The sequence below is a fragment of the Homo sapiens genome, chromosome 9 (genome assembly GCF_000001405.40).
Source record: "Homo sapiens chromosome 9, GRCh38.p14 Primary Assembly".
Taxonomy (NCBI): Eukaryota; Metazoa; Chordata; class Mammalia; order Primates; family Hominidae; genus Homo; species Homo sapiens.
Window position 1 is genome coordinate 105980475 of NC_000009.12, and position 27992 is coordinate 106008466.

The 27992-nt window shown below is 39.9% G+C and overlaps 1 long non-coding RNA gene across 2 annotated transcripts in view; it reads left to right on the top strand.

Moving 5' to 3' along the window:
• LOC107987108 (uncharacterized) overlaps positions 1–27992 on the top strand; it is a 675821-nt gene that overhangs the window by 51494 nt on the left and 596335 nt on the right. The window lies entirely within an intron of this gene.

Consider the following 27992-nt stretch of genomic DNA (forward strand, 5'->3'; position numbering starts at 1 on the left):
AACTGTGCTGCCTGGCTCACTGGGTTGGAGCAGGGTGCCAGTGAGCTCAAGGTCTCCTGCTCCTTCTGTCACTTCTGCACACGGAGAATTGGAGTTCCTTAGTATGCACTACCTCTGTTCTCATGCCTGTCTATGTGAAGAAACACAGGGCATGGAGTGAGGTTGTTGGAGAGAGAGAGTTTTAGATAAAAGCAGACAGACCTGGGATTGAATCCTGGCTCTACCACTTTCTTTGTGTATGTGGCCTTTAGCAATCAGTGGACCCCCTTCGTGCCTCAATGTTGTCATCAGAAAAGTAGGGATACCAGTATCTTGACTCACAGTAAACTCATGGTGTGAATCAAATGAAGTAAGTCTTGAAGTGTTAGAAACTGAGTGCTGACTCTAGAGTGACCAACTGTCCTGGTTTCCTGGAGAGTGACAGGCTGCTAGAAACACAAGACTTTAAGTGCTAAAACCAGGACAGTCCTGGGAAAACTGGGGTGGTCAGTCATCTTACTCAGGGCAACTTATCCCCTTTGGAGGACCCAGACACAGCTTAAACAAGTACCCCAAGGGGTGATGGAACTTTCTCTGTGGTTGAAGAAGGTCTTGTTTTCTTCTGTGGACTAGTTGCCTGCTCTATTGCGGATTTATGTATGGATTCTTTTTTTTTTTTTTATTTTCAACTTTTATTTTAAGTTCAAGGGTACCTGTGCAGGATGTGCATATTTGTTACATAGGTAAACAAGTACTATGGTGGTTTGCTGCACAGATCATCCCATTACCTAGGTATTAAGACCAGCATCCATTAGCTATTCTTCCTGATGCCCTCCCTCCTCCTGACCCCAGCCCTCTGACAGACCCCAGTGTGTTGTTCCCCGTCAAGCGTCCATGTGTTCTCATCATTCAGCTCCCACTTGTAAGTAAGAACATGTGGTATTTGGTTTTCTGTTCCTGCATTAGTTTGCTGATGATAATGACTTTCAGCTCCATTCATGTCCCTGCAAAGCATATGATCCCTTTCCTCTTTATAACTGCATAGTATCTCATGGTGTATATGTATCACCTGTTTTAATCTAGTCTATTATTGATGGGCATTTAGGTTGACTCCGTGCCTTTGCTATTGTGAATAGTGCTGCAGTGAACATATGCATGCATGTATCTTCATAATAAAATGCTTTTTATTCCTTTGAGTATGTACCCAGTATTGGGATTGCTGGATCAAATGATATTTTTTGCCTCTAGGTCTTTGAGGAATTGCTAAACTTTCTTCCACAATGGTTGAACTAATTTACACTCCCACAATGTAAAAGCATCCTTTTTGTCCACAACCTCGCCAGCATCTGTTATTTTTTGACTTTTTAATAATTGCCATTCTGACTAGTGCGAGATGGTAGATCTATGGATTCTCAGCTCTGGTTTATAGAAAGCTTACTCACTGACCTTATCCTCAATATCTCAAAGGGTAGCCTAAAACTTAAAAATAAAAGTATGAAGATATAAAATGAAGCAAATTCCTCCTCCGAGTCAGAGCTTATTCATTCTTCAAAGCCCAGTACATTTATTATTCCATTCATGAAACTTTTGCCCATGTCCATCTTTTAGCATGATTCAGTGCTTTCCGAGAGCAGTGTATTAGGTTATTGCCTTCCCTCTGGCTTGATTTTTAAACTCCTTGAAGGCAGAGAGCCTGCCTTATGTTTTCTGATAAACCATTGAATAAGTGAATCAATTAAAGAATGAATGATTTATAAGTAGGAAAATGAGTCAGAGGGAATAAACGAATGAATGAGTGAATGAATGCATGTATAAATGAATGACTTTTCTATGTTTATTAATCAATTACGTGTCTTTTTAGTCTTGATCTGGCCCTGTTGTGGATTTTACATATGTCTAAAAGTTTTGACCTTCAAATCCCAGATACTAGTTCTTGGCTTCAGCTTCCATATTAAATTCCTAATACCTAAAAGGACCCAGCTCATTTTGGGGGCACCACTTGCTGATAAGCTGAGAGAATATAACTTAGTTTTTTCTTTATAATTTTTTGAATTAATTAAAAAACTAAAGTACAAACTGCCTATGCCAAACAGAAAAAATTATTTAAACTACTCATGAGTCTAAAATGAAAAGTAAACATTTATCTTGTCTGTTTCCCTCCTGTACCCCAATTTTATCCCTATGAAATTCAAGTTTCTGCTTTTAGATTTTTGGTGGCTACAATTAAAATTATAAATCATAGAATTTTATGTTTTTTTAACATATCAACATTTTAAAGTATATTTTGACATCCTGCTACAGAAATTTGAGGTATTTGGTTATTGTTAGTATTGTACACCTTCCCTCCCCTTCTTTATCTCTTGAGATTTTTATTGATATTCCAATGGTTAGCTTTATACCTTTACAAATTCTCCATTCTCTGATGACTTATATTTAGACATTATGTATAGAATTCCCACTATGTAGCACATTTGTGTTTATTTCTGCATCTCCCCTTTGTTCTAGATTTTTGTTGCGCTTATTTTTATGTTGTCAAGTTTTAAAATATTTACGTTCTGTTGTCACTACAATTGTTTTTGGTAATGCTTTATCCATGGGTTAAATTGGATTGCAATTATTAACCAAGAAAAAGTAGTATCTATAGAACTTATCCATGTGAAGAGATTGGATCCAAAGAGAAGGGAATGTTGTCCCAAATAACTCAAAAGATCCTAAGCCACAGAAACCAGAGTTTTCTCTCTTCATTTCTTTGAAGCTTGCTTTTTTTCTGGGTCATGCTCAGATTCTATTTTTTTTTCAAATATTTATCTCATTTTTCTTGTCATATTCCAATTTTGTTTCACTGGAGCCCTTCATCAGAACTTTAAAAAATATGAAACATAAGGGAGCAACATTTAATAATCTTTGAATATCTAAAACTGTCTTTATTTTTACTTCACTTTTGATTGACAGTTTGGCTAAGTATATATTTCTAATTTCAAACATCTTCCTCAGAACTTTGAAGGAATTGCTCCCTTATTGCTGTTGAGAAGTATGCTATCATTCTGATATTGTTACTCTGTAAGAACCTCCCTTCTTTATGATAATTTTTAGGATTTTTGAAATTTCACCAAGATTTGTTCAGATATGTGTTGTTTCTGTTCACACATTAACTTGGTAGGTCTTTTCATTATTATTATGTATTTGTTTTAGAGACAGGGTCTTGTTCTATTGCCCAGGCTGGAGTGCAGTGGTATGATCATAGTTCACTGCAACCTTGAATTCCTGGTCTCATGGGATCCTTCTGCCTTAGTCTGTCCAGCAGCTGGGACTACAGGCATACACCATCGTGTCAGGCTGAGTTTTAAAAAATTTTTGGAGACAGGGTCTTGCTATGTTGCTCAGGCTGGTCTCAAACTCCTGGCCTCAAGCAATCATCCTGCTTCAGACTCTGAAAGTATTGGAATTGCAGGGGTGAGGTAGTTCATCCAGCTGGTCTTTTCATTCTTACGAATTATCTCTTTCTTTACCCCTGGGATTCCCACCCACCTTTATTCCTTTGATTATTTTTCCCCCTCTATTGTTGCAATTTTCTGCTTCTAGGAGTCAGATATATGTTGCCTTACTAGCTCTATCTTCCACAAGCTCATATTTTCTATCTCTTTTCATTTTTGCTCTTTTTCATGAGAAATTTTCTCTATTTATCCAGTCTTCAACCTTATTTGTTGTGATTATCTATTCCATACATTGAATTTTTTAACGTTCAGTAATCATATTTTTAATTTGCCAACATTTGTTCATATACTCTGATTACTCTTATTTCATGGAAGCTTTTATAATCTATTGATTTTTTATGTGTGTCCAACACCCACTCACATATCTCTAAAGACACATCTGAAAACATTTAATAATTATTTTCACTTTTCTGAATCATTTTTATTTCTTCTGATGTCATATTGAGTTCATCTTGTTTTAATGTAAATTGATTTCCTCAAATGTCTTGTGATCCTGATTATAGATGAAGGAGTGGTTTGATTCATATAAGTAACTTCCATGGGATTTTCTCTGCAGTTTTTAGAAGTCTGTTTTCTCAATAGGCTTCTCTTTCAATTGGGAGGTCTTACTTAGGGCTCCAAAAAGGTGAACAGATGGGGAGATTCTCAGGTAGGGTTCATAAACAAAGAAGAAGCATGTAGATTGGCAAACTTATCACAATCTCCAAAGTAATAGAAATTTACTCTGGAGTTAGAAAACTTTAGTTTATTTTACTCCTAAATGGAGCTGACTTCTCCTGTCTCCCATCCATCTGGTCTAATGTGGAAGTGTATAGTCATCTATTCAAACTCTTTCAGGCCCTATCTCCTGTACTAACTCCCTTTCCAGTTACAGTTCTAATATTCCTAGAGAGAAGTTGTCATGCTTTATCCTGAGGGCATAAAATGCTGCTGCCATTCTCATAGGCTCTGTACGCCTGAGGAAACAGCAAAGGTCTGATTAAGACTCACACTCCTATTGTAATTGTGTAGTTTATTATCCTGATAATGAGTCCTCTACCCATTCGGGCTCTGTCATATGCTTGGGAAGGACTGCTTTGTTTATTTTTAAGCTATGGTTTTCCCAACTCTTATTCTTCATTGAACTTGTCCTAGCTGCTTTATATTTTACAGGATTTCTTCAATATTTCTTGTGACAGCTGGCTTCCTTTATATTTGGTTTCATAAAAAGTTTTTTTTCTATCATATCAATATATCAACATGACCTCAGTAAATGGGGAGGTGATGCATGTGCTGGGTCTTTCAGTTGGAAATGCAAGACAGAATACAATTTTTGAGAAAATGTGTATAGAGTTGGTGGAACGCTTGATGAACTTAAAAATGTTCCTGTTTCATTTAAATGACGTCTTCCCTTTGACCAAACATACAAATTCTTCATTTCATTGTAGACCTGGCCTCCTTTGCCTTCTACCTCAAAGGCCCAGATGCCTTTACACTTTCTCTCTGAAATTTCTTTTGACTTCTTTAGCTCAGCTAGAGTCTTTCTGGAACTCCAGAAGCACTTCAAGTCAGGGTCAGAGAGGTGAATGCACAAGACATTTTCATAGGTTTTTCCTGTTTGTTTTCTACCCCTAAACTGGTGATAAAATGCTTCAGGACTGACCCATATATCTTTTTTCTTGTGTATTTGTGTAAGAAAGTGTGTGTTTTGGAAATAGAGTGGGGTTTAGAGGGTAAAAGGATGTGGTCCGCTAGCCCCACAGAGCATGGTTACTAAATACTTGTCGATAAATTAAAAAACAATGAAAATTCATTCTCAAAGGAGCTTGACTATATACTGTTTCTTTTCCATAACCTTATTTAGGAATGTGCTAGAAATGTGCTGCTGAAACCTTGATAGAAACAAAATTTTTTAGTCTCCACAATTTTTAAAAAAACATTTTAAAATAGCCCATTAGTGCCTGAGGGGTTTAGGTTTGTAATACATAATTAGGCATTTTCCCCCGCAAGTCTGAAATCACATATTCTTGGGAATCCGACATCCCTGTAATCTTACTCTTTTCTTCTTTGCACAAGGAAGGTTGAAATATTAATTGCTGCATCAGCCACTTTAAGATTTAATATATATATTTTTTCCCCATTCTGGAGACTATGTACCTCCTATGTGACTTCTGTCTATTCTCACAGCTGTCTGAGAGATAAGCAACTCTATGTCTGTGGAAGTAATCTATAAATCATATTCAAATTCATGTGTCCAAATGATCCTTTCTTTAATCTCTAAAATAACTCTACTGGAGACTTGCTAGTGAACTTCAATTGAAAACATTGTGTTTTCCACCTACTCATATTCCTGTCAAATATGTTAGTGTCAGAAAAAGAATAGAACTGGTGAAATAGGCCTTCAAACTCTGCTGGCTAGAGAGACTGCATGGGTAGAATAGGGCACCTGGTTCAAATCAGTAAACCTTGGCTTTTGAAAGCAAGCTAGAAAAATGAGGATGAAGTAACTTGGTTGCTGCTAGAAGAGACATCTCTTGTGAATTGTTTTTGTCAAGCCATTGCTCCCAAAGAGAAAATGTCTTGATTATAATAATCATTTAATATTCTTAAAATATGCCAAAAAGAGGTATAGAGGTGAGTTACCATGTGAGTATCAGAAGGTACCCATGGCTTACAGTTTGGCTCAGTGGCACTTCAAGTTCTGCGTCATCTGAGCCATTCTACCAACTTAACCTTCTCTCCAACCTCTAGTCCTAGTGGGTTGGAGTTATTCCCATTCCCTGCATATGCCATGTTCTACATATTCACATTTCCATGCCTTTCCTCCTGCCATTTCTCTGTCTGGAATACCTGTATTTATTCTTCCTTCATCTTCAAACCTTTTCTAATGAGCAAGTAATCTCTCTAAGACATTCCTCAAAATCAAAGAACTAAATGATTTCTTACTAAAATTCCAATTTATTCCTAATAGTCTATCAGCTGGATAGGATATAGAGAAATATTTATAATTAACATTTATTCAATGCCCACTATATGCCAGACATTAGACTAGGTCATATGTTTGGAACATTATTCAAGTCAACTATCATACCTTGCACAATTTCTAATTTGTAGAAAAAGAAACAGAAGTTATCCACCTAGTAACTGGAAAAAGTATTATTTGAACTCATGTCTATCTGACTTCAAATTCCATGTACTTTTCCCCATACCATGATGTTCATGCCAATAGATTCACAATCTAGTTTTGGTGTGAGATAGAGACAGAGATATATAGAATCATACACCACTATAATCTCAAAGTTGGGAAGATTTTTTGACATCATATAGTTCAGCCCTCTTTTGGATACTGAATATTTTGTATATCATAAAAATGAAAAAATAATTTATATCAGAAAAGCTTCAGCAACAGGAATTCCATACTTGTCATGTTGGATGAATGGACGTGGGTGAAACTTTAAATTTGTCTCTGTTGAATGCCATATTGACAGCTTTGTCTCTTTCACCAGCCAATTCAGAAAATTTTGTAACTTTATTTGGTCATTCAATATTATCATTTTCCCTCCAGGTTGTATATTTTTCCCAGAGTGCCATAAATATTACCATTCTGCCATTGACAAAAATATTCTTGAAATAGACTCATGAGCATACCACTAGAGCTCTCCTAGCTGGTTGACAACAGTGCAATGATTGGCATCCTTTGGGCATCCTTTCTAGATAATCATTTGATTATCTAGATCAGCAAAGGTACTTTTGCTCTTAGATTTTTGGGAAGGAGAGACTTTGTTACATACTTTGGTGAAATGCAGAGCATTGCATGTATTCTATTTTCCTATTATACCTTTCTAAAACCCCTGCACAGGAAGGAATTAAGCTAGTCTTGTGTGACTTGTCCTTGATGAGCTCAGGTTGGCATCATAGCATCTTTTCATTTCTTTCCAATTCTGCATAAGCTGCCTATTTGCTAATCGGTTCTAGACTTTGTGTAAAAAATGATACAGATGACTTATGACATTCAAATTCTTGCAATTTTGAAAAAATAGGACATTGAAAAAACAAGAAACAGTGACTTGGTCACAAATAGTCCATAATAAAGCACAATGTTGATTGACACAGCACTTGTGGGAGAATAGCAGGGCACAGGGCAATCAAGAAAGTCTTCTTGGAAGAGGTAAACTTTGGAGGATGCCTAGAATTGAGTTAGGAAGTGAGAAGATTACAGAGAATTCCAAATGATGGAAACAGGATGAGCAAAGATATAGAAGTTTCAGATATGAATGAGTTTGATGTGTTTGTGGGTCCAGACATTGTTGGTGTGGCTGGAATAGTGAGTACTTGCTGAAAAATATTGTGAATACAGCAGGATAGGCAGGGTGGATCTTGCTTGTGGGATGGCCAGAGAATGCTGGCTTTGAATACCATGGTAGGATAAAAAGCACTGAAGGTTTTTGAGCAGAGGAGTGACCTGGCAAAGAGTAGCATGACAGTGGATGCTGCTAGCAGCTGTGTGCAGGATTGCACCGTGTGGAGAAGCTGCTGGAACCCAGGGGGTTTAATTGGAATGGACACAGTGATCCCAGCATGAGGGTGGAAGAGTCTTGCCTTGTGTAGGGATATTGGAACTGAATAGGAATGAATACAAGAGCCACTTCAATGAAAAAGAGGCCAGACTGGATGGTTGACTAACTCTTGGTGATGGAATTATTGAATGAGGGAATATGAGGAATGAAGGGTAGTGATGAGATCACCTTCATTCTTCACCATGAATATAACTCTTCTTGTCTTGGTGTTTGGGAAGATTCTGTTGTCATAAATAGAAACTCTGTAAGGGGTTGGAGTGGGCACATATACTTTGGTTGCAAAACTGGGTTAATTGGAAATAAAATCCTATACAGAAATGTTACTTTCAGAGGCCTTCTAAATACCCCTCTACCAAAACTTACATTTGGAGGTGAATGCATTGTAAGTATCTCTTTAAATATATATGTAGGAGCAGCAAAATAACCTCCCACCTCAGCTCTTTAGAGGAAATAAGAGGCTCTGTAACTATTGAGGAAAAATACATTCACCTTTAAATTATATTGTTTTAGAGGTTAAAAGTATATAATTTCCCAAGGAACACATCGCGATTCAGCCTGCTGGGAGGCTATTGCTCAATTACTCTCAGCAGTGGCGAAGGTGCCTACAATTCTTTCAGCTCTGTTTAAGCTGGTGGGAACAGAGGTTGTCCAGGCTGCAGGCTGACAGGGCATATTTGGGCCTAACAGGGTATGTGGTTCTGTCCCTTGGGCCATAGTCCCTCTGCTGATATGCCAGAAGCCTGCCTAATCACAGGTTGCCTGCACAGGTGGCCCTGGCCTCTGTGCCCCAGGCCTGTTAGTTAATTTCTCTGGCTGGTATGTCTCTGAGCACGTTCGTGTACCAGGCTCCATCCCCAGGGTATGACCAAGTGGAAAGATCCATGTAGTTTCTCGTCTCTGTGAAAAGAGGTCATATCTGGGATTAGCTGATTGAAGGGGCCCTGGTGGCTGCTGGGATGACCCTGCCCTTGCAGGTGTGGACTCTGTCACCTTCAAGCTGCAAAGGCCTTGGTGAACAAGATGAGCTGTAGAGTGGCTCAGCAGGCTCCGGGCTTGTGGCCTGAGAATGCATCTTATTAGAGATACAGCTACTTGTTACTGGGCATCGTGAGGGGCTGTGGCCATCTTAAATTTTCGTTACTTTAATAATTTAGAATCTGATGTTGTCAGAGGCTTCCAGTGTGACACAAGGGGGTCATCCCCTGTTTGCATGTACACACCAACGTGTAGATCATCAATATAGACAATGTGCTTTTCTGTATTTTTCCTATGTGCACCATGTCTTGATGTTCTGGTAATTTTAAAAAATAGAATTATTGAAACTCACTGAACAGGATTTTAGGGGTATCTTTCTTGCTACTACACTTCCTTAATTTTTTCAATTTGAATGTGACTTGGCATAAGCAGAAGCAGTGCTTGACTTAGGCAAAGGGTGGTGGAGAGAATTAATTGGTAGCTTCAAAAAGTAGTAGAGAGAAGAAATCACCCAGTAGTAGAGAGAAAGCAGGGGTGGTGCAGGAGCCTGGGGAGCTCCCATCCCCTCACCTCCTTCCTTTCAGGCCATCCATCCCTCCCACCAGCAAGCCTTGAAAGATTGTTTGTTAAGGCTCTGGAGAAATAAGCAACCAAAACAAATCCACTGCAATCAATTCTCAGGTTGATTCTGGTCTGCAGTTTTAGATTTTGGGAAATGATCACTGGCTCAGGTTAGAGATTTATAAACAGGCCCCAATGTCAGTCAAAGGCAGGCAGAGCATCAAGAAAGGAAAATGCTAGAATCTTTGACTCATCAAAGAGAATCGGTAGCTTTTCCAGCTCTCCTCTCTCTTTCTCAGCATCTCTGTTGGTAACAAGGAGAGTTTGGAAATTGTTTTTTAGCAAGTGCATTTGAGGGCAGGTTGAAGGGAAGTGACACATTGACAGGTGACTGTGGGAACAAACCTGGAAAATGATGGTTAAAAAAAAGGAGCTGCTGAAAAAGAGGGCCTCCCAAAATCCCTTCAATGTTTAATTGCAGGTGTGCAGCTGACCCGTGTACACTGGAAACTTCAAGGGAAGTGGCAGCATATCTTCTTCCCTTTGAAAACACAACAGATCTTAAAACAGCCTAATGATAGAAGCAGCAGCCCCAGCCCCAATTATTTAGGACTGGCTTTGATGGTATTTCCTGTGTGCACTCCATCTGCAGTTTGGTTTATGCAGCTCCATCCTCTACCTTTGTGCAGGCTTCCTACATCATCACCATCATCATCAACATCATCATCATCATCAACATCATCATCATCATCTTTGTCATAATAGCAAGTAACATGTAATGATGTTTATGCTGTGCCAGGTGCTATACTCAGGGATTGTTTTTCTCCATGAAGTAAACCTATGGGGCATTTATTGTTGTTATTTCCCATTTTATAAAAGGGGGAATCTGAGGCTTATGGTATTAAGTGCTTTGTTCAAGTCACACATCTAGTAAGTGATTGAGTCAGGGTTCAATTCAGGAAGGCTGCCTCCAGAGCCTCTATGCTGTAAATGAACAGATGGGTGGCTGAATGGATGGTTAGATAAGCAAATGAATGGATGATTTTCGGTAGGCTCTCAAGCAGTGTTCTCTTTGCCCTGGCTTACAAATTCATAAAACCCAGGGGAGTGGGCTGTGGCATCCCTCTGCAGTCCTCACCAGTGGTAGGCATTTGCTTCCTATTTGGGGTGTGTGTCCCTTGCTCAGATGCTCAGCTTTCCTGGGGCAGGTTGCTGATGCCTCTGGTGAGCCCCATAACAGCGCTTTATGGTAGCACTGGGCAGGGTATCTCTGAGAGTTCCCAGGAACCCCAGGGGAGAGGAGCATCTTCAACCTCATGTACCTTAGGTCTCCTAGTGGTGCTTAATTCAGAGGTACCAGGTCAAGTACCCCTCTCCATGGGTGGAAATAGGGAAGAAGGGGAGGCAAGTTCTCAGTGCATTAGTATTAATTGTTTCCATTTACAAAGAGACTAGTATGTGCCCGGCAGCATGCTAGGTTGCTATGAGCATGGTCTCATTTACTTACTGTAACCCAATAAAGTACCCACTTTATTACTATTTAATTAATGAGGAAGCTAAGACCCAGAGTTAGTTAATTAAGATATTAATAACACATAACAGCAGCAAATAAGTTTTGAGCACTTATTATGTTCCATGCTGGGGATTTTTCATACATCCTTTCATGTAATGCTCCTAGTGGCCCTCTGACATCCATTTGATTATTTCTCCCAATTTTACAGGGAGGCTAACTTGCTCCACGTTGTTTAGTGTGCACACTGAATGTGTGTTCATTTCACACACAAAAAATGACTTAAGATGTGGCACCTGCCCTCTTGGAGCTCACAATTCAGATGGGGAGAGGAAACTCTTTTATATGGAATAATTCAGGCTGTGTTTACAGATGGGTGTAAGAGTGAGCTGAGGCCCAGGGTGGTTTCAAGGAAATATTTCTCTCTAGGAGAAGGAACGGGGAGGAACCTATGGAGATTGTTAGTGAAATACCTCATTTCAATTATGTTGGAGGGGTTGCAGCAAGACATAGGGCCTCACAGTTGGAGGTCGTCAACATTTGTAAGACATTTCCCTTCTGAGGGGGGCAGTTGTATACATCAGTCTAGAATGGCTGAAATTGGCTATCTTCTTAAGAAAAGAGCTGGAGGGATGGTCCTTAGATATATCACTTAATGAACATTAAATATGTTCACATTGAATTAAGAAGAGCAGTGTGTGTTCTCAGGTGTGTTGAGAATTCACTCTTCACTCACCTGTCTAGTTGGAATAAATCGTTCATGGGGCTTTGGCTACAACCTGAAGAACTCACTTCTAGGATTCTCTGGGTGTGGAGTTAATGTCATCCAGACACCTATTTCTGCCTTATTTGAAGACACTGGGATCCGAATGAGGCAGAGCACTCTTCAGAGAGGGGATTTTTACCATTGTACATCTGTTTCCACTGCCTGCAGTGGTCAAATCTCCCCATTCCCTACCAAGCCAGAGGGGTCATGGAGCTCTGGGCTCAGATATAGTACCCTGGGAAATAGCCCACCCACATGTGGATGTGATAAGAGAGGCAGCATCTGGCGCAGAAACTGAAATCCAGGTTTGGAAACCATCCAATGGGTCACTCACCTGAAGGGGCTGCCAAGAGAAGTTGAATTCCCAGTGAAAACAGGAGCAATGGGAAGAAAGTGAAGCATTAGAGCAGGATATTAGAGATGGACATGGAGGACTTCCTGGATTCAGAGAAGGCGGCTGCAGGGATTTTCTAAGGCTCATTTGGCCTTGGGTTTGGACAAGGAGAGATCATAGGACATCAATTTTTCCTAGAATGAAATGTTCCCTAAAGCCTTCACTCACTTGGAAAACTCTTACGCATATTGTTCTCTCTCATTCACTTTGAGCAATTCGGTTTTGGGACAATGCAGTCTTATTTGCTGTACTTCCATCCAGCTCAAGGCATGTTTATTGACCCCATTATAAATTTAAAAATATAGTTATTTTGTTCTGCCCAATTTTGCTGTGAACCTAAAACTACTTTAAAAAATAGTCTATTTTTCAAAAAGATCATTTAAAAAATGAGATTAGTTCGAATATCAGCTCTTACAAGCTCAGAGTGCATGGGCAAAATCATATTTTGGAGCCTGGAAAGCTGAGTGGACCCACTGAATCCCCTTAGGCCCTGGCCCCCGTGAAGTCCAGCTGATGTCATCAGTCTCACTCTTCAACATCCCCGTTCTTTAAATTCAATGGGATTTGAGGCTGCTTCTGTCTCCTCTGCCGGTGGAATGTGCAGATGGCACTGGCAGCTGCTCAAGCTGGTACTCCTCCTCAATGCTTCTTGTTCCTCTGCTGGTGGACACTGCCGGTTGGGCCTCGTGCTGGCAGAGGCTGGAGAGCCCAGGAGGAGGGCAGCTGGGGAATCTGACTTTTATGGCTGAAATGAAAACTCCCCTGGGTGGCCTGGAGGAAGTGTTCTGACCCTCTCTGAATTACCCGCACTGAGATGGCCGTGGCACTTCTGACTCCACAGAAAAGCTTGAAGGTCCAATTTCCATCTTCAGGAGGGAAACATCTCCTGCTTCTGCCTTCAGACAGCCTTTCTCTGTGCTTCTTTGTGAGCCATTTCTGAGAACCGCCTGCATTCTGTTGCTAGTGGTGAATTGATTGAGAAGATCCTTTGTTGATAGTCCAGCTTCAAAAGCATGCAGGCTGCTGTTTGTCTTCTTTCTTCCTTCCAACGGAGGATATGCTCCTACAGAGGAGTGGGGAAAAACAAAAATGCCCTTTTTATTTACTTATAACTTCACTAAGCTTTTTGTAAAGGGGCCATAGTATCACTATTTTGTGGGTAAGTTGTATGATTTCCATACGTTTTAATTCTGTTAAATGGGGAGGGAGTAAATCAAACCATTTTGTCTGTGAAGAGTAAATTATGTTGTCAATGCTTATAGTTTTCTTTTCTTCAGATATTTATTTATTTGCATTTCAGCAAACATTCATTGAGTGCTTAATATGCGTTAAATGTAGATAAAATGAGATCCACAATTTTGAGGATCTTGTAGGCAGCTGGAGGGGAAACAGGTGAACAAACAACAGTAGTTTCTAGGGGAACTGGAGCAGCAAATCCTCTGATACTGACTATATATGAGGTCATATTCCCGTAAGGGCACTATGCAGGTCTAAATTGCCTTTATATGCCCCAAAACATCTTAGGTGCATCATGCATTTAGAAGGTATTAAACCAACATTTATTGAATGGATAACTAAATGAATGAATTGAATTTTGAATTCTATAATTCCCATATTCTTGCACGCTTTTTGTCTAACATAAGGATTACATTTTCTTGTGAGCTCCTTGGCTAACTTAAATGCTCCTCCCCGCCACCCCTCCGAAAAAAAGGATGTTCAACTTGATACTGGTTGGAGTTTTAAAGAAAGCATGTAGTCAGGCTCATGCATGTAATCCCAGCACTTCGGGAGGCTGAGGTGGGAGGATCACTTGAGGTCAGGCGTTTGAGACCAGTCTGGCTAACATGGTGAAACCCTGATGGCACATGCCTGTAATTCCAGCTACTCTGCAGGCTGAGGCATGAGAATCACTTGAACCTGGGAGGCAGAGGTTGCAGTGAGCTGAGATCGTACCACTGCACTCCAGCCTGGGTAACAGAGTGAGACCCTGTCTCCAAACAAACAAACAAAAAGCATCTAGTCAGATGTGGATCTTGCTTACCAAAGCTGGGGAGAGTAGCATTTACCTTGGGGAATTTTCTATGGTTTAGGGGCTGGATTTGGAGGATTCAGAAACTTAATACTTAGCCAATAACTCATCCAGAGGAAACACCCAAAGTGGAAGCCAGATGGGGCAAATGGATTGCAAAAATGGCCCCAATTCTTGGCTCCCCAATTTCCCACCCTTAGCAATGTGACTCTGTACCTGCTCCTATCAAGGGATGGAGCCTATTTCCCCACTCCTTGAATTTGGGTTATCCTGTGGTTTGCTTTGGCAAATTGAATGAAGTGGAACTGATGGTGTTCCAGTTCAAACCTAGGCCTCAAGAGACTGCTCACGCCTCCACTCTCAGATTCTTGCCACTGTCATGTGAACAAGACCAAACCAGCTTTCTAGAGGATGAGTCACCCCTGCTCCCACAGTCACCAGCCAGCCAGCTGCCAGAAGCCAGCCAATCTCTAGGCAGCTAGCCCTCAGCTGATCTACCGGGAGACTGCAGACCACCTGAGTGATCCCAGCCAATATCTGCCAAGGTTGGCCCAGATCAGTAGCACACCCAGCTGACCTACAGACTTGTGTGCAGTAATATGTGCATCTTGTTTTAGGCCACCAAGCTTTGAGATAGTTTATTATGTAACTATAACCAACTTGTATACCAGGATTCCCAGTTCTTCAATTACGTGTGAGAGAAAACTCAAGTCTCTCATACCAACTGACCCATGTTCACTGACTTAACCAGAGGTCTGTCTCCCAGCACTGGCTCATGGGGCACCACAGGACAAGGAGAGTTTGGAGAGTCAGGGCTTAGAACAAAGGGAAGTACCTGGTTGGAAGATCCCTGTGTTCAGTGGCCTTTAGCTCTGATGCACCCATTTCTACAACAGGAATGCTGAAAGCTCAGCTGTACGTATCTGCGGGATTCAAAGTCAGATACTCTGTATCACCTGGAATCTCAGAAAAAGAAAGGTCTATAAAGGCAGCCATCTAACATGTGCTGGATCCAGGGCCAGGATGGGGACGCTGGGCCAGGGCTAGGCAGATACTGGAGATGCTCCTCCTCATTTTTGTTTATTTTCTATGATGACCTTATAATATTCTGATTTCTGCTTCTTGCCTCAAGACTGTAATATCACCAATATAGTGAAGTCTTACTCTCGTCTAGAAGCCAGTCAGCATGGTTAAGGTGCCTGTAACTATGTGTTTATTTTATGGTATAACTCCAAGAGGGAGCTTCATTTTCCTTATCACTGAACTCTCTGAAGCCCTCACCATGCTGCCTGAGATGCTCTGGCCCAGCCTGCCTTCTAGAATTCTACTGCTCCTCTAGCACACTACTGGGCCATGAACTGTTAGTTACTACTCTGGGACAAAATAAATACAGAAATGGAAAGTGAGCATTAAAAAAATTTTATAACAACTTAGTATTGCTGTAACATACAAGACTTTGATTAGTAAACGTGTCATTGAAGAGGTTATTGACAGTTTAGGAGTTATTGAACTTGTACAGTGAGTCACAGGTGGTACAAACTGCATACTAGTGAAGTTCAGATGTAGTAGGACCATAAACCAGCCTGCAAAGGATTGGCAATAAAACACACACGCGCACACACACACACACACACACACACTCTCACTCAAACTAAACTAGGCTTTCACTAGAGAGAGTTTGAAAAAGCAAACTCATCTTAACTTTCAAGTCTTAGCTTAGCTTTTTTCTTCTGTGAAGGCCTGAAAAATATTCCTTATGCTGCCTGCCCTTTGTACATACCTTCATTAATAAAATTATTTTCTTATATAATAATTACTAATTTGCATTGATCTCTAGACTATGAAGATGTAGACAGTGCTGAATTAGCTTGGATTTGCATATGGGGCATAATAAAATTTTGTAATCGTTGTTGAATGACTGACTAAATAGAGGAAGAAATGTAGTTTCCTCTGCCCCTACCACCAAGGTTTCTTCTCATGGATATTTCTTTGGCACTCTGAATTCTGAAGAGGTGGAGAGGTGTTGTCTTAGATTTTGTCCTGTATTTAGATGAATGGCCCCTGTATTACTCAGCATGATTGAGCATGACAGCAAGTAAGTTAACTGGCTTAGACAGAAAGGAGATTTATTGGCTCTGATATCAAACTGTTGGATGGATGGGCAGGGGTACAGCTGGCCTTAGGGATGTCAGGAACCAGGGGCTCAATTTCCACCAGGCCTGTCTCTCATGTGCTGCCTTTGCTTCTACCTTACCCTGCATGCTAGTTTCTTTTCACCAAGTTTTGGGCACAGACAGGTGCTAGGTCACATCCTCTTAGCTTTGACTCCAGGGTGGAAAAAACTTTCTTCTCTTAGTTCCAATTTGGAAAGTTCTGGGGAAGGACTCTGATCAGTTTTTGCTGATTTCATGGTCCTTTCTGTGGCCTGAGGTGGTGTGGGGAGTTACAGTTGTCCAACCGCACTAGAGCGGAATAGGTGGAGAAGGGGAGACTCCATCCTCATTCCAATGGGGAGTGCTGTTCCCAGAAAGAGGGAGGAGTGCTAGGCAGACAAAAGGTAACTGCTCATTACAGCCAAAGAGCATTGATTAGCACAGATTCCTGTCTGAAGAGAAAGCCAAGTCTTGCATTCATCCACTTTTGATGTCTTCGTCCACAGCCACCCCTTCTAGGTCAGGACATCATAGGTTTTCCTCATCATCAGCATCATATTTATTTAGTGAGCACCAGCTATATGCTAGGCACCAGACCAGGTAATCGTATATTATCTCATGTATTTCTACAATAATCCTATGAGGCAGAAATTCTTTTCCTACTTTGTCAAGGTTCGGCCACATTAAATAATTTACCCAAGGTCACATACCTAGTAAGTGGAGAATCTGCAATTTAAGTCCTAGTCTGACTTCAGAGCCTGTCTTCTTTCTGCTACCTTATTACTGCTTAGGATTTGGGCAGCTCTAGGATGAGAAATACTCCTAATAACAATATGTAATTGAACTCAAAGACTTTTGCCCTCCAACCACGCCCTCTAAAATCTCCACTGGAAATTCTCTGTCTGTGATGATTTGTGAACATGTTTTATGAAAGCTCCAGGCATAAGGAACATCGTTTGGAACAGGTTTGGAACAAACAACTCTTTAAGCCCGTTTACCAGTCTAAATCTGAAGGTGGTCATAGTTGGCTAACTGGCAAAATGAGTGGGCGATGAACCACACTGATTATTCATTTTGATGGAACCAATTATGGTGTCCATGATTATTATTTTTTTAGAGTGTTTGAAAAAACAAGCTGAAGAAATGCCATAAAAATCTGTTATGTTCCCAGGAGAATGTTCTGTGTTTATCTCTAGGCCACAACAGAGTCTCAATTTTAGTTGACAATAAAATAGTAAGAAGAATAATGGCAATAGTAATGTCCATAGTCTGCCACTGGTTCTTATTTTCCTCCAGTAGTGAAATGCATGAAAATAAGGTAAATTTTAATGTTATTTTGAATAAAAGAATCAAGATATCCTACAACCTCTTAGTGTAATATGTAAAGATTAACTTAGTGTTTTAGTTTCAGAATGAGTGAAGTTGATTCCTCTTATAACATTGAAAGTAATGATGAGTGTATCATTCATCCGTTGAATATTTTTCTGCCCCTGTGAGGAAAAGATATTGTATGTGGGGGAAACCTGCGTGAAGGATTGCCTGGGTTAGTATTTGCTAAGGGATTAGAACAGAGCCTGGCACACAGTGAGAACTATAAATGTTGGTTAAATTAAACTATAGTGCTTGGAAGTTTATGAGCCCTTGCATATATGATACACTTTTTAATTCTTGCAACAACCGTGGGAGTTGGTATAACAGTGATGATTATTCCCACTTTACAGATGAAGAAAATGTCATACAGAGAAGTTAAAGGACTTGCTTAAGGTCACCCAGCTAGTAACTAAAAGGGATTAATTTATAATTCAGGATTCTATTTCCCTTTTTGGTGCTCAGGCCACTTGATCAGCAGTAGCCAAGATTTGGTTTTCATGGACCAGTTTAACAATTGGGGAAAATTATGCAGCTTATTCCTCATTTCTCGTCTTCCCTCATTTCATTCTGGACCCATCCCTGGCCTGCTCTGTGTCCAAGAGGCTGACCTGTGGGCTGTACCAGCTCCTTGCAGGCTGGCTTCCAGTTGACCAGTGGGGGTCCCTGGCAGGAGACTGAGTAGTGACAGGAGAGAAACTCTGCTGCAGTGTGGCATGTCAGGGGTAGTGATACTCCTTCAAAGTTATGGCTTCTGCTGGTGGCCCCTTCTCCATGGCTCCAGCACTCACCAGCCTTCAGTGACACAATTTTCTCCCCTTGACCCTTCTGGGCATCTCATTGCCCTTGTTTATTCTCCCACCCCTCCCAGCTTTGTGAGTGGTTCTTTCATTAAAGTCTCTCTATTTGAACCATCTGGGGTGAATTCTGTTTCCTGCTGAGACCCTGACTGTTACAAAGACCAATATTGACTTGCTTATTTTTAGATGCCAAGTAAGGGCATAAACAAATAAGCAAGACCCAAACAAAACTGCTGTCTACTACCACTCTATTTATCTTACTAAATGAAGATATTTTAGCACCGAAGAAAGGAAGAAGGGAATAATTGTAGAAAATCTAACTATATTACTTTATTCTTATTTTATTATGACCTACATAAAAAGTAAAACCTTTATTAGAAATTGGATGTGGTCAATGAGCCAATGTTTGGAAGTAAATGGGTGTGCTCACTTGATCACTCCAGCAATTTGTTCCCCTGATATTTAACGAAGTTAGAGATCCTAATACATTATACATGCAGTGCCCAATACTTACAGTGCACTTACGGAGTTCCATAAATGCTCCATGGGCTTTTTTTCAACAAAGCTGCATTGAACATCTATTCTGTGTCCTCGCCAAAGCTGGGAATATACTGATATATAAGACATAATCCCTCCTGCCATCACAGTCTACTTAGGGGGAAAGACAAGAGGCAATTGTAACATATTGAGAACAATGCTAGGAAACAGGTCAGCAGAGGGCTGAAGGAGCATATCACAGAGACAGCAACTAATTTGGGGGGCTTTAGGGGTGGGTGCTGATGTCTAGACCAGGTAGTGTGTGACCGGAAGCTCTGAAGCATTATAGGAGCTGCCTAATGGACAAGGGAAAGGGCATTTCCAGCAAAAAGCCTGGCTTGAATGAAGGCATGGGTACGTGGCAGAATATGGTACCCGTGGGAGTGTGTCTTGAAATTAACTTGGGGAGGCTGAATTTTAGGGTTGAAAGTGAGTTGCAGAAGGGAGCCAGAGGATGAGGGAACTTTAGATTCAGTAGAGATTTATTTTTCATCCTGAAGGCGGATGTAGTTTATTGGAAGTTTAAAATTTTTTTTTTTTTAAGTAAGGGATGTAACATGGTCAGATTGGCATTTTACAAAGATCGCTAGTTGTCACTGAAGAGATAAATTGGAGGGGACTGAGATTAGGCATTCAGATTCCAGTTACAATGTTACTGCAATGGGTTAGAACATTTAAAAAAGTAAGGTTCTTGATTAAAGTGACAGAGTAGTTGTGATATTCCTAGTGCAAATCCCCTCAAATCCACCTGCTGATCAAGGGGGAGGTCAGGGAGAGGCTTCCTTTGAACTTTCTTCTTAGCTTTAGCCTCCAATCTGCCACCTAGTAACCCCAGACCCCACTAGTCTGTGAAAGGCAGCAATTAAGAAGTTCCCACCCTCTCATGAGTGTTTGGATTTGCATGGAGTTAGGAATCTCACGAATGCTATGCTTTTACAAAGTAGTGCACTGGTGAAATAAAAGGCAGACTTTATATACCAGGAAGTATCCCTGGGCAAGTGCCACTTCCTTTGGTGACTACTTTGTCTGTGTGTTTATATAATGAGGGCCCGAGGTTTTGGGAAATCTCTGCTCCGTGTGTGTGTGTTTCCTATTCTCCCCATGTCCTCTTGCCTGCTATCACCTTGGAAAATGAAACCTTGTTTGCCATCTGCTTAGGAGCAAACCTTCCCATCGCAAAGTTGGACTCAGTGAATTTTCAGATACTGCTATGTGATTGGGGCTACATTTCTCTGGCCTTTTTGTCAGGTTTTTCATTCTAAAACAATGAAAATTTTATACACACACACTGATCATTTTTATGAGCTCTGTAGCATGGGGAGTTTCAGTTTTATTTATCACATGTATCACTTTGTCTATGTCTTTATATATGTATTTTAGAAATTTTCTTAGTAGTTCCATGGGAAACGGAATCCTGGTTTACGTAAGGTAAACTCCAGCATCTTTCTTTATTGAGAGTGAAGCATTGGGCAGGTTACTTAACCTCTCTGAGACTCAGTATCATTATGCGTAAAATGAAAGTGTCTTATAAACTCTAAAGTGCATCCTGAAAACTATTGCTTTTGTTATTATTATTAATAACACAGTTTGAATATATTTCAAATGTCAGGGTAACCTTTGTAAATCTTTCTTACTGTGGTTATAGTGAATCTAGACGGCTCTTAGAGATATCAAATCTGGTATTTTTTTTAGGTGAATATAAGAGGAACTACTCTCAACTGAGGACAGAGTATTTGTTGATTTATGTGTTTAAGTTCTTGAGAAATTTCTACTGTAGTTTCTGCCTATAGCTAGCTACTGTTATTAATAATTTATTATGAAAAACAAAAACTTTTTAAAGTGCTTGCTTGACTGCTGATACTGCATTTTCACATGATCAGCTAAACTCATCTTCACAATTACCACGAGGGTGAATTTAGATGACCACCGTTATTCCCATTTTACAGATGAAGAAATGATCTTGAATTCCAGCCCTGGCTGACCTTGTTGACTTCAACATCCTTGCTGACATCCCTTCCCAGAGGCTAGTTTCACAGTTCCTCAGCCTCTTGAAATCTGTGACCTTCAGCTATACTCCATACATCAAATCTTTTAAGCTAGAAAAAAAAATCGAATTTTAGCCATTCAGAACAGGAAGTGCCCTTATCGATCATTTAATTCAACCCTATCATTTTTCAGATAGGGTGACAGAAGAAGGGACTTGACCAAGTGAGTTATTAGCAGAGCAGAGAATAGATCCCAAGTGTCTTTTTTCTGTTTGGGGATTCTTTTTGCTGCACCACTGCATCTTCCCAGACAGACTCCTTGTCTTATTATCAGCATTAGCGTGCAACCACGTACATAAGACATACCCAAGGTGGGGGCTACTGTGAACTTGAATCAAAACATGTGAGGTTTAGCTTCAATGTGGAGAATATTTTCATGCTTCTACTTTCTTCCTGTTTGATATTTATAGAAAAACAATTCAGAGACTTCATTCTAATTTACGTTAGTCCACAAGATTTTCTTAACCAGATAAGCATTATTTGAACTTACTCTCTAGGAACTTAAGACTAGAATGATTTCAGTTCAATTTGAGATACATTTATTGGAGGCCTACATGTTAGGTACTGAAAACACAGGTACAGTGCCTGTGTTTTCCAGAAACTTACACACCTGGAGCAGAGAGACAGATGTCAGGAGTTAAATGCAATACAAGGTGAGAAGAGGGGTAGCAGAGGTATGCATACAGTGTTCAGTACTGCATGGGTGCCGAGAGGGAGGGGTCACCCTGGCCTAGAGAGGCCAGGTATGAATCACAGAAGAGGTGACTCTCTTAAACCAAATTTTAAGGGTAAATAAATGTTTCCCAGATAATTGAGCTAGTAGTGGTGCTGATGAGGGATCATGGAGGTGAGGATTGTGATGTATCCGTTGGCTTGTGCAATATGGAGTTCACAGGTGTTCTTGGTGAGAGTGTCTAGGGTTGAGTTGAAGAGTGAATGATAGAATCTAAGCACAGTGAAAGTGGACAACTCTTTCTAGACACTTGGTTATAAAAAGAGGGAAGGAGAGGGTGGTAGCTACTAGATAGGGATATGGGAAAGGGAGGGACATTAAAGTTAGGAGACACTTGCTCATGCTTCCCAGGAGTAAAGGAAGGATCCAGGAGAAAGAAGGATCTGGACCATCACAGACTGAAGGACCACTGGTGGAAAGGAATAAGATGAAGAACAATCAGGAGGAATGTGCCTGGAGCAGCAGGAGGAACATATCTTCCTTGGGCACTGCAGGGAGAAGTTCAAGAGGGAGTGGGTGAGTCAGATGGTTGTTGGTGTAGACGAAAGAGGATCAAGAAATTCAGGCTGGCTCACTTGTTTTATCTGTTGAATATTGTCTGTGAGATCATCTGAAGGAGAGGGATGAAGGGAAGACATAGGGGGCTTGAAGTGAGTGGAGAGGTTTGGAGCCACCATTGAAGGGGCAAAGAAGGAACTGGCCACAGATGACTAAGAGCAATGCCTGTTAAGTCACACTAAGGGCTCAGCTGATGTTAAAGAGCTCAGACCTCTCCTGGCAACAATCTAAAGAGCTGTGGCACCATCCTGGATGCCACTGTGGATGGTGTCTAGGGTGAAGGTTTTGTTGTTCTGTTAGGGTCTCTATAAATTTGTATGTTTGGTTTAGGGTTTTATCAGTGTTATTTTCTGAACACTTGATTTCTTATCTCTGTTTTCAATTTTTTAAAAATTTCCATAGGTTATTGGGGAGCAAGTGGTGTTTGGTTACATGAGTAAATTCTTTAGTGCTGATTTGTGAGATTTTGGTGCACCCATCACCCACACAGTATATACTGCACCCTGTTTGTAGTATTTTATCCCTCACCCCCCCGCCACTCTTACCCCAAGTTCCCAGAGTCTCTTGTATCATTCTTATGCCTTTGTGTCCTCATAGCTTAGCTCCCACATATCAGTGAGAACATACAAGGTTTGGTTTTCCATTCCTGAGTTACTTTACATAGAATACTAGTCTCCAATCTCATCCAGGTTGCTGTGAATGCCATTAATTCATTCCTTTTTATGGCTGAGTAGTAGTTCATCATATATCAATCGTTGATTGATGGGCATTTGGGTTGGTTCCACATTTTTGCAACTGTGAATTGTGCTGCTATAAACGTGTGTGTACTAGTATCTTTTTTGTATAATGACTTCTTTTCTCTGGGTAGATACCAGTAGTGGGATTGCTGAATCAAATGGTAGTTCTACTTTTAAGTCTTTAAGGAATCTCCACACTGTTTTCCATAGTGGTTGTACTAGTTTGCATTCCCACAAGCAATGTAGAAGTGTTCCCTCTTCACTGCATCCACGTCAACATCTACTATTTTTTGATTTTTTGATTATGGCCGTTCTTGCAGGAGTAAGGTGGTATCACATTATGGTTTTGATTTGCATTTCCCTGATCATTAGTGATGTTGAGCATTTTTTCATATGTTTGTTGGCCCATTTGTATATCTTCTTTTAAGAGTTGTCTATTCATGTCCTTAGCCTACTTTTTGATGAGATTTTTTTTTTTTCTTGTTGATTTGTTCGAGTTCATTGCAGATTCAGGATATTAGTCCTTTGTCAGATGTACAGATTGTGAAGATTTTTTTCCCACCCTTTGGGTTGTCTGTTTACTCTGCTGACTGTTGCTTTTGCCATGTAAAAGCTCTTTCATTTAATTAAGTCCCAGCAATTTATCTTTTTTTGAACTTGCATTTGCTTTCTGGTTCTTGGTCATGAAATCCTTGCCTAAGCCAATGTCTAGAAGGGTTTTTCCAGTGTTATCTTCTAGAATTTTTATTGCTTCGGTTCTTAGATTCAAGTTCTTAATCCATCTTGAGTTGAGTTTTGTGTAAGGTGAGAGACGAGGATCCAGTTTCATTCTCCTACATGTGACTAGCCAATTATCCCAGCATCATTTGTTGAAAAGGTGTCCTTTCCCCACTTTATGTTTTTATTTGCTTTGTTGAAGATCAGTCGGCTGTAAGTATTTTGGTTTATTTCTGGGTTCTCTATTCTGTTCCATTGGTCTATGTGCCTATTTTTATACCAGTACCGTGCTGTTTTGGTAACTATGGCCTAATAGTATAGTTTGAAATCAGGTAATGTTATGCCTCCAGATTTGTTCTTTTTGCTTAGTCTTGCTTTGGCTATGCAGGCTCTTTTTTGGTTCCATATGAATTTTAGAATTTTTTTTTCTAATTCTTTGAAGAATGATGGTGGTATTTTGATGGGAATTGTTTTGAATTTGTAGATTGCTTTTGGCAGTGTGGTCGTTTTCACAATATTGATTCTACCCATCCATGAGCATGGGATGTGTTTCCATGTGTTTGTGTAGTCTATAATTTCTTTGAGCAGTGTTTTATAGTTTTCCTTGTAGAGGTCTTTCATGACCTTGGTTAGGTATATTCCTAACTATTGTATTTTATTTTTTTTGCAGCCATCATAAAAGGAGTTGTGTTCTTGATTTGATTCTCAGCTTGGTCACTGTTGGTGTGTAGAAAAGCTGCTAATTTGTGTACATTAATCTTGTATCTAGAAACTTTGCTGAATTCTTTGATCAGTTCTAGGAGCTTTCTGGAGGATTGTTCAGGGTTTTCTAGGTAAATGATCATATCATCAGCAAACAGTGACAGTTTGACTTCCTCTTTACTGATTTGGATGGCCTTTATTTCTTTCTCTTGTCTGATTGCTCTGGTTAGGACTTCCAGTACTATGTTAAAGAGGAGTGGTGAGAGTAAGCATCCTTGTCTTGTTCCAGTTCTCAGAGGGAACACTTTCAACTTTTCCCCATTCAGTGTTATGTTGGCCATGGGTTTGTCATAGATGGCTTTTCTTATATTAAGGTATGTCACTTGTATGCTGATTTTGCTAAGTGTTTTAATCATAAAGCGATGCTGGATTTTGTTGAATGCTTTTTCTGCATCTATTGAGATGATTATGTGATTTTTGTTTTTAATTCTGTTTATGTGATGTATGACATTTATTGACTTGCATATGTTAAACCATTGCTGCATCCCTGGTGTGAAACCTACTTGATCATGGTGGATTATCTTTCTGATATGTTGTTGGATTTGCTTAGCTAGTATTTTGTTAAGAATTTTAGCATCTGGCCGGGAGCGGTGGCTCACGCCTGTAATCCCAGCACTTTGGGAGGCAGAGGCGGGCGAATAATGAGGTCAGGAGATCGAGACCATCCTGGCTAACACAGTGAAACCCAGCCTCTACTAAAAAATACAAAAAATTAGCTGGGCATGGTGGCGGGCGCCTGTAGTCCCAGCTACTCGGGAGGCTGAGGCAGGAGAATGGCGTGAACTCGGGAGGCGGAGCTTGCAGTGAGCCAAGATTGAGCCACTGCACTCCAGCCTGGGCAACAGAGCGAGACTCCGTCTCAAAAAAAAAAAAAAAAAAAAAAAAAAAAAAAAAAAAAGAATTTTAGCATCTATGTTCATCGGGGATATTGGTCTGTAGTTTTCTTTTTTGATTATGTCCTTTCCTGGTTTTGGTATTAGTGTAATACTGGCTTCATGGAATGATTTAGGGAGGGTACCCTCTTCTTCTGTCTTGTGGAATAGTGTCAATAGGACTGGTACCAATTCTTCTTTGAATGTCTGGTAGAATTCTGTTGTGAACCCATCTGGTCCTGAACTTTTTTTGCTGGTAATTATTAAATTACCATTTCAATCTCACTGATTGTTATTTGTCTGTTCAGGGTATCTAATTCTTACTGATTTAAGCTAGGAGGGTTGTTTTTTTCCAGGAATTTATCCATCTCTTCTAGGTTTTCTAGTTTATGTGCATAAAGGTGTTCTTAGTAGCCTTAAATGATCCTTTATATTTCTGTGGTGTCAGTTATAATATACCCTATTTCATTTCTTATTGAGCTTATTTGGATTTCCTCTCTTCTTTTCTTGGTTAATCTTGCTAATGGTCTATCAATTTTATTTATCTTGTCAAAGAACCAGATTTTTGTTTCATTTGTCTTTTTTATTTTTTTTGTTTAGATTTTATTTAGCTCTGCTCTGATCTTGGTTATTCCTTTCTTCTGATGGATTTGGGTTTGGTTCGTTCTTGTTTCTCTTGTTCCTTAAGGTGTAACCTGTGTCTGTTTGTGCTCTTTCAGACTTTTTGATGTAGGCATTTAGGGCTATGAACTTTCTTCTTAGCACTGCCTTTGCTGTGTCCCAGAGGTTTTGATAGGTTTCGTCACTATTGTTGCTCAGTTTGAAGAATTTTTTAATTTCCATCTTGATTTCATTTTGACCCCCTGCTCATTCAGGAGCAGGATATTTAATTTCCATGTATTTGCATGGTTTTTGAAGGTTCCTTTTGGAATTGATTTCCAGTTTTACTCCACTGTGGTCTGAGAGAGTGCTTGATATAATTTCAATTTTCTTAAATTTATTGAGGCTCGTTTTGTGGCCTATCATATGGTCTATCTTGGAGAAAGTTCCATGTGCTTTTGAATAGAATGTATATTCTGTGGTTGTTGGATGGACTGTTCTGTATATATCTGTTAAGTCCATTTGTTCCAGGGTATAGTATAAATCTATTGTTTCTTTGTTGACTTTCTGTCTTGATGACCTGTCTAGTGCTGTCAGTGGAGTACTGAAGTCCCCTACTGTTATTGTGTTGCTGTCTATCTCATTTGTTAGGTCTATTAGTAACTGTTTTATAAATTTGGGAGCTCCAGTGTTAGGTGCATATATGTTTAGGATTGTGATATGTGCATATGTGTTTATTGTTGGACAAGGCCTTTTATCATTATATAATGTCCCTCTTTGTCTTTTTTAACTGCTGTTGCTTTAAAGTTTATCTTATCTAAGAATAGCTACTCCTGCTTGCTTTTGGTGTCCATTTGCATGAACTATCTTTTTCCACCCCTTTACCTTAAGTTTGTGCAAGTCATTATATGTTAGCTGAGTCTCTTGAAGGCAGCAGATAGTTGGTTGGTGACTTCTTTTCCATTCTGCAATTCTGTATCTTTTAAGTGGAGCATTTAGGCCATTTACATTCAATGTTAGTATTGAGATGTGAGGTACCATTCATCATACCATTTGTTGCCTGTATACCCTGGTTTTTTGTTTTTTAAATTGTATGTTTGTTTTATAGGTCCTGTGAGATTTATGTTTTAAAGAGGTTCTGTTTTGATGTGTCTCCAGGATTTGTTTCAAGATTTAGAGCTCCTTTGAGCAGTTCTTGTAGTGGTGCCTTGGTAGTGGCAAATTCTCTTAGCATTTGTTTGTCTGAAAAAGACTGTATCTTTCCTTCACATATGAAACTTAGTTTTACTGGATACAAAATTCTTGGCTGATAATTGTTTTGTTTGAGGAGGCTGAATATAGGGCGCCAATCCCCTCTAACGTGTAGGGTTTCTGCTGAGAAATCGGCCGTTAATCTGATAAGTTTTCCTTTATAGGTTACTTGGTGCTTCTGTCTCATAGCTCTTAAGATTCTTTCCTTCATCTTAACTTTAGATAACCTGATGACAATGTGGCTAGGCGATGATCTTTTTTTGATGAATTTCCCAGGTGCTCTTTGTGCTTCTTGTATTTGGATGTCTAGGTCTCTAGCAAGGCTGGGGAAGTTTTCCTCGATTGTTCCCCCAAATACGTTTTCCAAGCTTTTATATTTCTCTTCCTCAGGAACACCAATTATTCTTAGGTTTGGTCATTTAACATAATCCCAGACCTCTTGGAGGCTTTGTTCGTATTTTCTTATTCTTTTTCTTTGTCTTTGTTGGATTAGGTTAATTTGAAGACCTTGTCTTTGAGCTCTGAATTTCTTTCTTCTACTTGTTCAGCTATATTGCTGAGACTTTCCAGTTCATTTTGCATTTCTATAATGTGT